This window comes from Homo sapiens, chromosome 20, assembly GCF_000001405.40.
Source record: "Homo sapiens chromosome 20, GRCh38.p14 Primary Assembly".
NCBI lineage: Eukaryota > Metazoa > Chordata > Mammalia > Primates > Hominidae > Homo > Homo sapiens.
This window is the reverse complement of record NC_000020.11, coordinates 17,146,647-17,159,528: the sequence shown is the minus strand read 5'-3', so window position 1 is coordinate 17,159,528 and position 12,882 is coordinate 17,146,647. Positions and strand designations below refer to the sequence as shown.

At 38.5% G+C, this 12,882-nt stretch overlaps 1 long non-coding RNA gene across 2 annotated transcripts in view; it reads right to left on the bottom strand.

The window, feature by feature from the left end:
- Positions 1-12,882, bottom strand: part of LOC105372544 (uncharacterized) — a 74,761-nt gene that overhangs the window by 37,410 nt on the left and 24,469 nt on the right. The window contains exon 3 of one of the 2 annotated variants that reach the window (XR_937288.2): positions 7,017-7,181. The exons of the other annotated variant lie outside the window; for it this stretch is intronic. This is a non-coding gene — a long non-coding RNA (uncharacterized LOC105372544). Of the gene's footprint in view, positions 1-7,016; positions 7,182-12,882 lie in introns of those variants that run through there. 2 annotated transcript variants of the gene reach the window in all.

Below are 12,882 nucleotides of genomic sequence, written 5' to 3'. Positions count from 1 at the left end.
ACACTGTTGCTGTTTATAAGGATAAGACTTAACTTTTAGGAGCAAAAAGAGACAGGCAACTTAGAAAATAGAAATGTAATTGTCTAGGCTAGCCAGGCTCAGCATTTCCCATTTCCATTTGTGAATTGCCTCCAAACAAAGACAAGTACTATCAGAAATTTCACCATCTATTATGCAAAGACAAAGTTGTCTGCTCACATTTTATGTATGAATGGATTGATGTGTTGGGTCATTAGCTCCCAACAAACACAAAGCCTTCCATTTTTCAGTCTTCTTATATAACATTTGCAGGAAGATACATCTTTAAACTTGTAAAAAATTAACCTTCAGCTAGAAATTGAAGAAATAAGAAAAGGAGTTGGGAAGGACTCATCAGGTGTTGCTTGGATGCAAAGACTTCTCAGGAATCTGATTTAAATGCAGTTAGCTATTTTCAGATTCAGTTTGTTCCCCAAGCAAAATCTATGCAAAATCCAAAATTCCTCTCCAAGCCTCTTTGGAAATAAAAGACTTGCATGTGTCCTGTTGTCTACAGTCCAAACCAACAATGTTGCTTCTGCCAATTGCTACGGTTTAAGCTATTATGGTGAGCAAATGAAACAGTGACAGAAATAGAAACTCCAATTAAAAGATAATGGTATACCAGATCATTCTTGCTGCACATTTACTCTATATCCATAAGCTCTATGATTCCCAAGGAAGACTGATTAAGAATGTATTGCACGTATTATGCCCTGCTGTGTCTCTCTCCTCTCTCTTCAATCTGTAACATTAGCAGATAAATTTCCTCCTATGGGGCCTAGGAAGAATTGATATAAGTGAAGCATATAGTAATATTATAATGAATATAGAATATATATATTTAAATAAGCTTGCAGAATAGAAATCTGTATATATTATTGAAAACAGACACAATGCATATATCTAATATGGATAAGCAATCTATTTAATTGGAACTTAAGCTGCCCAATTCTTAAGGCTATTTTTCTATTGTGTGATTGGGAAAATGTTTGCAAATTGAAATTTCATAGTTTTTTTTTGCATACAATTGGTTTACAACCACTGAATCAAAGAAATATGTATTAAATCATGAGACTATAAACAGACTTATTTACAAGTGGCTTGGCTCATCAATATTTTAAGAAATTTTTAAAGACATATTTACATGCAAAGCCACCCAATTCAGAATTGAAACAAAATTATGGTTAATATGAAAAATTCTTGCTGCATTTTGTAACAACTCAAGCACAACCATGTTAGTTGAAAGACTGCACATTTTTGAAAGAAATATACTTTATTTCAATTAAAACATCTTTTTAATTTTTCTTCTTACTATAAGAGATAAAAATATTCATTTTAAAGAAATCAGGTAATGCAGAAAAATGTAAACTAAAACTAAATTAAGTAAACACTGAAAATTTCCTACAATTCTACCACTCAGAAATGACTTTTCTCAATATATAGGTGTTAATTGTTTCAGACTTTTTTGTGAGTATACAAATACACTTACTAAAAGGCATGCCATAAAAATGTTTGGTTTATTTTTATTTTTAACTGTATAAAACAATCAAAATTTCATAATAATTGGAGATAATTCTCTCTAACTCATTCTATAAGGCCAGTATTACCCTGATACCAAAACCAGATAAGGGCACAACGAAAACAACAGAAACTACAGGTCAATATTCCTGATGAACATAGATCCAAAAATCCTCAGCAAAATTCTAGCAAACTGAATCCAATAGCACATCGAAGAGATAATACGCCATGATCAAGTGGGATTTATCTCAAGGATGCAAGAGTGGTTCAGCATATACAAATCAATAAACATGATACATCACACCAACAAAATGGACAAAAACCATATGATCATCTTAGTAGACACAGGAAAAGCATTTGACAAAATTCATCACCCTTTATGATAACAACACTCAACAAACTAGGAATAGAATGACCATACTTCAAAATAATAAAGACCATATATGACAAACTCATAGCTAACATCATACTGAGTTGGGAAAAGTTGAACGCCTTTGCTTTAAGAACTAGAACAAGATAAGGATGCCCACTTTCACCACTTCTGTTCAACATTGTACTGGAAGTCCTAGCCAGAGAAATCAGGCAAGAAAAAAAAAGTGGTATCCAAATCGGAAAAGAAATCAAACTGTCCCTTTTGGCAAATGGTATGATCTTATACCTAGAAAAACCAAAAGACTTCACCAAAAACCTTCCAGAGCTGATAAAAAAAAATTCAGTGAAGTTGCAGGATACAAAATCAATTTACAAAAGTCAGTAGCTTTTCTATACACCAATGAGGATGAAACAACCAAAAAAGAAATCAACAAGGCAATTCCACTTATAACACCTACAAGAAAAACAAAATACCTAGGTATAAATTTAACCAAGGAGGTAAAAGATCGCTATTAAAAAATCTACAACACAAACACATGGAAAAACATCTTATGCTCATGGATTGGAAGAATTAATCTAGTCAAAATGACCACACTGCTCAAAGCAATCTACATATTCAGTGTAATTCCTATCAAAATATCAGTATCATTTTTCACAGAAGTAGAAAAAAAAATCCTAAAATTTGTATGGAACCAAAAAAAGCCCAAATAACCAAAGCTACCTGGAGCAAAAAGAACAAAGCTGGAAGGATTACACTGTCTGATTTCAAAACATATCACCAGGCTGTAGTAACGAAAACCATATTTATAAAAATAGATATGTAAACCAATGGAATAGGATAGAGAACATATAAATAAATCCGTGTATTTACAGCCAACTGAGATTTGCCAAAGCTGCCAAGAATATAAACTGGGGAATGGATACCCTCTTAAATAAGTGGCGCTGGGCAAACTGGATAACCATATGCAAAAGAATGAAACTGGGTCCCTATGTCTCATCATGCACAAAAATCAACTCAAGATGGACTAAAGACTTACATGTAAGACCCAAAACTATAAAACTATTAGAAGAAAGCATAGGAAAAACTTCAAAAATCACTCTAGGCAAAGATTTTATGGATAAGACTGCAAAAGCACAGAAAACAAAAATAAAAGTAGATAAATGGAACTATATTAAACCAGAAACCTTCTGTACAGCAGAAGAAACAATTAACAGAGTGAAGAGACAACCTATTAAATGGGAGAAAATATTTTCAAATTACTCATCAGACAGGCGACTGATATCCAAAAAATACAAGGAACTCAAACAACTAAACAGTGAAAACAAAAAAAGTCACTAAAATATGGGCACAGGACATATTTTGAGAATAGACATTTCTCAAAAGACCACATACACATGGCCAACAGGTTTATGAAAAAATGCTCAACATCACTAACCATCAGGGAAATGCAAATCAAAACCCCAAGGAGATATTATTTCAGCCCAGTTAGAGTGGCTATTATAAAAAGAAAAAAATAACAGATTCTGGTGAGGATGCGGAGAAAAGGGAGCACTTATACACTGTTGGAGGGAATATAAATTAATATAACCAATATGGAAAACAGTGTGGAGATTTCTTTAAAACTAAAACTATCATACAATCCATCAATCTCACTACTGGGTATTTTTCCAAAGGAAAAAAATATCACCCTGTCAAAGGGACACTTGCATTCACATGTTTATCATAGGCTGATTCACAATAGCAAAGTTATGGAGTCAACATAAGTGTCCATCAATGGATGAATAGATTAAAAAAGTAGTATATATACATAATGGAATGCTATTTGGCCATTAAAAAGAATGAAATAATGTCATTTGCAACAACGTGGATAGAACTGGAGGCCATTATATTAAGTGAAATAAGCTAGCAACAGAAAGACAAATACTGCATGTTTTCACTCATGCAGAGATCTTGAAGGGCTCTTGAGAACCTTTGGTGGTTGTCCGTGAGTGGCTTTTGCATATGGGAAGTGAGTGTGTTTCCTGTCTGCCATGGGTCACAGCGTGTATGAGTGTCTCCCGTGGACCAGCCATGGACCCTGGAAAAAAGAGAGTGTTCCTGGAGCTATTTCAGGGAGCACTTAAAATGTATCTCGTGAACATAGAGAATAGAGTGATAGATACGAGAGACTGAGAAGATGGGCTGAGTGGGAGGGGAGTTAAAGAGAGGTTGGTTATGAGTAGAAACATGCAGTTAGATAGAAGGAATCAGTTCTAATGTTTAATACCGACTAGAGTGACTATACTTTGCAACAAGATTATGTATATTTCAAAGTAGTTAGAAGAGAGGACTTGAAATGATACTAACGCATAAAAACGAGAAATACTCAAGGTGATGACTTGATCAATATACATTCTATGCATGTAACAAACACATGTAATGCATAAATATGTAGAGTTATTTTATATGACTAAAAGAGAAAACAAGTTTAGATCTAGATGATTATTTGTAATTACTGTCAAGTTATCCAAAATATAAACTACACTTATGTGTTTAATAAGCCACTTATTTTGAACATCTGGATTGTTTCTTAAAGTAGTTTTTAAAATTAATTATTTAAAAATGTTTTATCTCAAAAACTATTTTGGAATTTGGAATGCACTGTTTAAAACTTCAAAGAGGCACTTAAAATTTAACTTTGCTACTTTTATTTTTGCTCTGAGTCATGATTTTTTTTTTTACATTTGCATGGGTCTTCTTTTTTTTTCCTACATGATGTATACGTAGAAAATCAGGTCAATACAGCATCAAAGAGAAAAATCATACAGTGGTAGGCCTGTCCGATTTCTGGCATTCTTTATTAGAGAAAGGGTGTGCTAGCCATCATTTTTGCCCTTTAACACATGTCTTATTCTAACAGGATCTTAAAATTTCTAATGGGAACCAAGATATGATAGAAATGAAATTCCAAAGTGAGGCACCAGCTCATCACATGCAGCATTTACAAAGAAAAATCAGCTTCAAAACTTTTGAGCACCTCATCTGGAGGTTCAAGACAGTGAGATGTAGAAAGAGGAGTTTTTTTTTTATTATACTTTAAGTTTTAGGGTACATGTGCACAACGTGCAGGTTTGTTACATATGTATACATGTGCCATGTTGGTGTGCTGCACCCATTAACTCGTCATTTAGCATTAGGTATATCTCCTAGTGCTGTCCCTCCCCACTCCCCCTACCCCACAACAGTCCCCGGTGTGTGATGTTCCCCTTCCTGTGTCCATGTGTTCTCATTGTTCAATTCCCACCTATGAGTGAGAATATGCGGTGTTTGGTTTTTTGTCCTTGTGATGGTTTGCTGAGAATGATGGTTTCCAGTTTCATCCATGTCCCTACAAAGGACATGAACTCATCATTTTTTATGGCTGCATAGTATTCCATGGTGTATATGTGCCACATTTTCTTAATCCAGTCTATCATTGTTGGACATTTGGGTTGGTTCCAAGTCTTTGCTATTGTGAATAGTGCTGCAATAAACATACATGTGCATGTGTCTTTATAGCAGCATGATTTATAGTCCTTTGGGTATATACCCAGTAATGAGATGGCTGGGTCAAATGGTATTTCTAGTTCTAGATCCCTGAGGAATCGCCACACTGACTTCTGCAATGGTTGAACTAGTTTACAGTCCCACCAACAGTGTAAAATTGTTCCTATTTCTCCACATCCTCTCCAGCACCTGTTGTTTCCTGACTTTTTAATGATCGCCATTCTAACTGGTGTGAGATGGTATCTCATTGTGGTTTTGATTTGCATTTCTCTGATGGCCAGTGATGATGAGCATTTTTTCATGTGTTTTTTGGCTGCATAAATGTCTTCAGACACTTCTCGAAAGAGGAGTTTTTAATGAGTATTTAGAGAAAGTTGTGCTGCTGGGAGGTGTACAAACATCACCTGTTCCTTCATCTCAATCTTAGTGTTTGGGGAGAAGAGCTCAATGGGGCCATTCAGAACTTGATACGCAGCCCCCCCAAACTTTGGAGACCCAGGAGATGGTAATCTGTCTCCAAACCCAAGAAATTCAGAGGTCAGGGAAGGGATGCTGACACCTTTTTGTGGTTGTCTGTGGGTGGCTTTTGCATATGGGAAATGAGCGTGTTCCCTGTCCACCATGGGTCACAGCGAGTATGAGTGTGTCCCGTGGACCTGCCACTGACCCTGGATGAAAGAGAGTGCCTCTGGAGCTATTTCAGACCCTTGGCAAGGGGACTCCCTCAAAGAGTTGAGGAGAACCCCAACAGTGAGCATCTGACCATGAACTGGACACACTGTGACTAGCCAAAGAAGAAACATGGTCTACATTATGGGACCTGCATCTGGAAGAGCCCACAAGTGCATCTGTAAGAGAAAGTATTGATACCTGATACCAGAGTCATGACATAAGGTGAAGAACAGACCCCGTATGTCAGAAGGTGGCTTTTCCACAGCCCATGCTCTTTCCTGCAGTCAGCTGCTATGGGAGGAAGGAATATTGTAGGGAAAGAATGAAGGGGAACCACCCCTGCCTCCACTGCCTGAAACTGACAGGCCACAGTGGGCCTAGCTAGAGAATGGGAGATGGGACACTAACTTTTGCCCAAACATCTCATTACTATCAAGAACTGGTCAGTCTAACTTCCAAATCGAGGCTTTATGTGCTAAAGTGACCATGATACTGTGTAGCCTAACTCATTGGACCTATGTAAGATTTCACCCAGAAGCAGAGAATTTCTATTAAAGGGAAGATGTTAGGGAAAAATTATATTTTGCTTTGAGTATATCCTGTGTTTGGTAGTTATTCAATGGGCTGCTTGCCTACCTTTTAGTGGCTTCCAACTGGAAACACTGGGGTCCGCAGACCTGGCTGGTAAGAACACTGGCAAATTGAATGTATGTGCGTAAACATTTGAAGCCTTGTCATTGAAAAGCCTCTCAAAGGCAAGTGCAGAGCTTCCAGAAAAGCTGGAGTACGTGGTATACCCCACTTGGGTATTCCTTGTGAAGTATCATTTATGTGACAGAGACCAGAAAAAGTTTTTTATCAAAGAAAAATTCAGAGACGTTTGTAGTTATTTTGCAGCATGCTTATTAGTTTATTTTGCACTCATATTGTTTACTCACATGAGGAGTCAGTTGGTAGAATGAGCCAGGAAACAAAGGCAAAAACGGGAGTCATAAGACAGGAGAAAAATAAAACTGTTGGTAGTCTGGACACAGTGAATCTTGTTTGCACAATTTTTGCCTAAGCTGATGATCTGGAAGTAAGCAGAGAAAGGTCCACCTGGCAGTCTCTTTTTGAGTAGGCCAACCAGAGGTATCAAAGATAACAATTTTCTTTGTTCAGGAATTTACCAGAAAGCTTTGAGGTTTGAGCTTGGAACAAATAGTGGTACCATCTTCCTGGCATGTCTGCCATTGTCCTCCCTTCATAACTTCTTCCTTGGTTCAACCTGCACCACTTAGTTCAGCAGATTTTCTCATGATTGAAAACCATCTACCATCCCTCCTTTTATCCATTCTAAGACAGTTTTAGTGTATTTGCATTAGGAAGGAAAACCACAGAGTACCTAAAAGCTGAATTTTTCTAAGTTAGAAAGGGCAGACAACTTTCCATTTTTCTATTAAAAAATGAATTTGGGAAGGTGGGAGTGGAGGAAGGGACAGAAGAGACAAGGTTAGCTCAGATTATATTTTGGAAGAAAGGTTTGGGGAGGATTTTTAAGCAGATGACTCTATAATTTGGGGGCAGCTGCTGCAAGGTGATCAGTTGGCTTTGTGGGAATGCATAGGGATCTTGGGGGCATTTTTACTGTACATAATGTAGTGTATTTTCCCTCTGGTTAAGAGTTCTGCAATACAGATTTAAATTGCTTTTCAATTCATTTGTAGCTCTTGAAAGCAACGCTGTGCTGAGAAAGGCAATGAAAAGAGCCAAGTTTATTCTAGTCGTACATGTTAAAGATTTGACAAGCCTTCAATAAAGACACTTAAAAAAAAACCAGCCTTCATCAAACTTATTTGACCACACTATCCTACTTTTAGAGAATATGATTTTATGTGTAATTATTTGGAATACACTTTGGGAAATGTGATTCCTAGCTCACGTGATCTCAAGATAGGTCAAGAATTCTAAAACAAAATTATTCACTCCTTTCCTAACTTAATTCAACAGAGCCATACAACATTTCGTGAAGTAGGATGACTGTCCGGGGTTGGATGCTGTCCCCTACAAATTCAAGTCCTTTCTGAAATCACAGAATGTGAACTTATTTGGAAATAGGACCATTGCAAATGTAATTAATTCAGATACGGTCATAATGGAATAGAGTGGGCCCTTAATCCAGTATGATTGGTATCATTTTAAGAAGAGGAGAAGAGACACAGAGACAGAGACAGTCAGGGGAGAACACCATAAACAATACAGGCAGAGATGAGAGTGATGTGCCTGCATGCTAAGGAATACCCAGGACTGCCAGCAATACCAGAAGCTCAGAGAAGGGCACAATTTTCCCTGAGCCTTCCAAGGGAATGTGCTGACACCCTGATTTTGAAGTCTAGCCTCCAGAAATGCAAGACAATAAATTTCTGTTGTTTAAAGCCACCAGAAATTGAAACAAATTTCTGTTCTTTAAAGCTTGTGGTAATTAATTAAGGCAGCCCTAAGAAAATGATACAATGACCACGTCTCAAAATTAAAGAAATATTTGATTTTGTAATCTTGAAAACTTAAGACCACTCAGCAATGAAAAGTAATAAACTATTGATACATAAAAAACCACAGATGAATCTCAAGATAATTCCAGATGATACAAAAAAGAGTACATGCTGCATGGCTGCATTTACATAAAATTCTACCAATGTAAACTAACCTATAGCGACAGAAAGCAAGTGGTTGTCTGTTTCAGAGTGCCTGTAGGGGCAGGAGGGGCTAGAGGATGGGTTTTCAAAAAACACAGATAACCTTTTAGAATCGTGGGCATATTCATTATCTTGATTGCAGTAGTGGTTTCATCATTTATGTATATGTCAAAACTTATCAAAATTGCACAGTTTAAGTATGTGCAACTTATTATATGTTAATTATACCTTAACAAAGCTGCTTAAAATGAAACAACTTGGGGACTCATTAGTTTAAAATAACCAAGAAAATAATGTGCAAGTTTGCATGGAGGACTGGTGGGAGCATTAAAATGTACTTTCACTGTTGTGCACTCTCTCTCTCTCTTTCTCTCACTTTATTCTTGTCCTTAATTGAAAGTGGTAAAGCAAACACATTACCAAAGCAACTCTAATTACTTTCTCTGAACTAGTCTCCAGCAAATTAGGAAAAAGGAGCTGAGAAAACCATTTCAGCTCTGAAATACCACTGTGTGATCTTTTCTTCTGAGACGATCTCAGCATACAGCAAAGAGCATTCATCTTGTGCTCCAGGACAGCCCCATGGCTGTGCCTAGAATGAACTTTGGGAGATACCCCTTCCCCTCATGCAATGGACATGGCCATTTTCCCTCTCACTTTCCTTCTGGCTTTAATTAAATGTCACAGCAGAAAGAGGTTACCAAAACAAATGATGCAAAGTGTTCTAGCTCTGATCCATCCTTGAAGACATGGTCTCAGCCAGTCTTTCTCCATAAAGGCTTGCTCACCTCTTCCCTGCCCATTCCCCACAGTCTTGCCCTCATTCTTATGCCATGTAAATGAGCTTTTGGTACATACTGGTTTCTATTGCTACTGTTTTGCATACTAGTCATTGCACCCCAGTCACTATGATACTCTTGGTCTCTTGAACCTGATATCTTTTGAAACCCTCTTTTCCATTCTAGATTTATCCCTATCCAGATTGTGGGATATATTCTATTCCTCAAAGTGCACAACAACAGCATGCATACTTTTCTCTTACTCTTCCCTTTCATTTCACCCCAGGCCTGGATGCATCATTTGTTTGTCTAGAATGCTACTATGCCAGTGTACAGCTGATAACTTTAGATGCCTGCCCTGCCACTCTGTGACAGGGGACTTTTTAACAAGGATGCTCTGCCCACACAAGCCAGAAGTGTTGGAGCATTAAACATTCCCCAGGAGGAAACTCAGCCAGTGAGTGACAGCAGACAGTGTGTGAGTTCCCCAGGTCCCTTGCCCCTCAGGTTAGCTAGCTCTGCAGTGTGTTCCACACTGCTTCTCCTGGCTCTCCCATGGGATGAAGCTTCAGTTGTCCACCACTTAGTTGATATAACAATGCATGCCTTATAGGCTGCCTCCCTTCCTTATATAACATCCCAACTTCCCTGCTGGTATTGCAGGAAACATCCAGGTAAACTGCTTGCCTTTGAATTTTCCTCTCAATGTCTGCTTCTGGGGAAGCCCCCCACTGAGATTAAGACCTTATGTTAGAGCGCATTGGATAGTTGAGCCTCTTCCCAGTCCCTGAGCCACAGCACCCCCATTGCTGTCTCCCACTCTTTACACAGCCCCATTTCATATGGTTGAGTCCTCACTTGCAACTCCACCTATTGCCATGTACTTGAGCCCTTCAGGCTGACTTCCTGCATTTCTTCTCAGTGTGCATTTGTCATCTGGATAGAGATGCACCTCCTCTGCTAGAGAGCTGTAGGAGAGAAATACCCTGTAGGGAACCCTGAAGAAACCACAAAAGCGTTCTTTAAGCATTGAATACACTGGTATGCACTCAGATATCCCACAGCCCAGTTAGGAAGGACTGCTATGCCTTCTTGACTTTCCTCAGCCCATGGCTTGGATCCTGGCATCTAGACAGTGAAGGCAGGGGAGGGAGAGCAGGAAAAAGGAAAGAACAGAGCCATCCTCTTTCCTTCCCCCATGCAAGGGTTTTCTGCAGCTTGAAGTGCTCACTTGGTTCCCAAACTGTGAGAACCAGACTGTGATAGAACCGCCTCTCTATCCCACTGTGGTTAGCAGAAAAAGGTCTCCCAAAGATGTCCATGCCTTAATCCCTGGTACTCATGAACGTGTCACTTCACATGTATGGCAGAAGGGACTTGGCATGTGATTAAGGTTACAGAACTTGAGACAGGGAAAAAATATCCTGGATTATCCAGGTGAGCCCACTTTAATCACACAAGTCCTTAAAAGTGGAGAATCTTTCCCAGCTGGGGAGAGAGAGATAAGCTGGAAGAAGGAGAAGGGTGTTGAAGCATGAGGGGAACTCAATCTGTCATTGCTGGCTTTGAATATGGAGAAAGGAGGCCACAAGTCAAGGAAGACAGGGGCCCCTAGAAGCTGGAGATGGCTCTCAGCTGGAAGGTCACAAGGAATCTTGGTCACAATCAAAAGGAACTGAATTCTGTCAAAAACCAAATGAGCAGGGAAACAGATGCCCCTCTAGAGCTACCAGAAAAGAACATAGCCCTGACAACACCTTGATTCTAGCCCAGTGAGATCCATGTTGCACATCTGACTTTAAAAACTTAAAGATAATGCATTTGTGTTATATAAGCCACTCCATTAGCAGTTATTTGTTATGGAAGTAATAACAAATGAATACACTGAGCATCTAGAGAGTTTCTCTACATGCCTAGTAGTCCTGCAAAAGAAGAAAGCAAACCTTTTGAAAGTGCCTCCCTGTCAGGCTGCAAAATAACAAACACTTGGGCAAATCTCTTATTGAGCTGCTGCTTATCAGGGAAAAAGGGAGAACATCAGGGCGTGTGACTGGAAGCCAATGCATCTACTCTCATTGTTGCCTCTAAATGGGCAACACCAGAACATACACCTCACTGTTCATCTTATCTCATTTTTCTCTTTTTCTTACTCTTGTGTACCCAAAAGCTTAATGTATATCCACATTATTGCTCAGGGAGGGACACTGGAAAGTTCCAATCAATTAAAACAGTATTGAAGTTTTATCCTGCTAATTAATCTACCCTCTCATTGGTCAGAAAAAGTCATCTCTTTATTGCAGCCTGAAACATCAATTAATACCTTGGCCTGGGTTTTTCCTCCATGATTTCAAACCAGTTATTTTTCAGGTATCAAAGCAGAGTGGAGAGGCCTAATTAATTGGTAAAACTATGGTCATCTGTAGTGGATTTGACAAAGAGCATGACTCTTAGAACACAGACTCATTAAAAATGCTTCCTGCCTCACAATCGAGATTAAGGAGATCTAAGGAAGACCAAACACCTAACAGTGCATTTATTTATCTGAGATGTGTGATGATGAGAGTCATATCATACTTGAGATCTTGCAATTTTATATGAGCATTTTATATTGTTTTTGGAATCAGAAAAAATACAGGTTTTATTTTTGTTTAAAGAGCATTCTAAATGAATTTGTCCAGAGATTTGAAGGTGTTTTTGTTATTTCAGGGGTTGCAGTCACATTTTAAAATGATTTTGTTTCTCCATATATATATATATATAAGTACTTTAAGTTTTGGGATACATGTGCAGAATGTGAAGGTTTGTTACATAGGTATACATGTGCCATGGTGGTTTGCTGCACCCATCAACCCGTCATCTGCATTAGGTATTTCTCCTAATGCTATCCCTCCCCTAGTCCCCCAATGCCCGACAGGCCATGGTGTGTGATGTTCCCCTCCCTGTGTCCATGTTTTCTCATTGCTCAGCTCCCACTTATGAGTGAGAACATGCAGTGTTTGGTTTTCTGTTCCTGTGTTAGTTTGCTGAGAATGATGGTTTCCAGCTTCATCCATCGTTAGAGAAATGCAAATCAATACCACGATGAGATACCATCTCATGCCAGTTAGAATGGCGATCATTAAAAAGTCAGGAAACAACAGATGCTGGAGAGGATGTGGAGAAATAGGAACGTTTTTACACTGCTGGTGGGAGTGTATTAGTTCAGCCATTGTGGAAGACAGTGTGGCAATTTCTCAAGGATATAGAACCAGAAACACTCCCATTACTGGGTAGATGACCAAAGGACTACAAATTATTCTGCTATAAAGACACATGCACA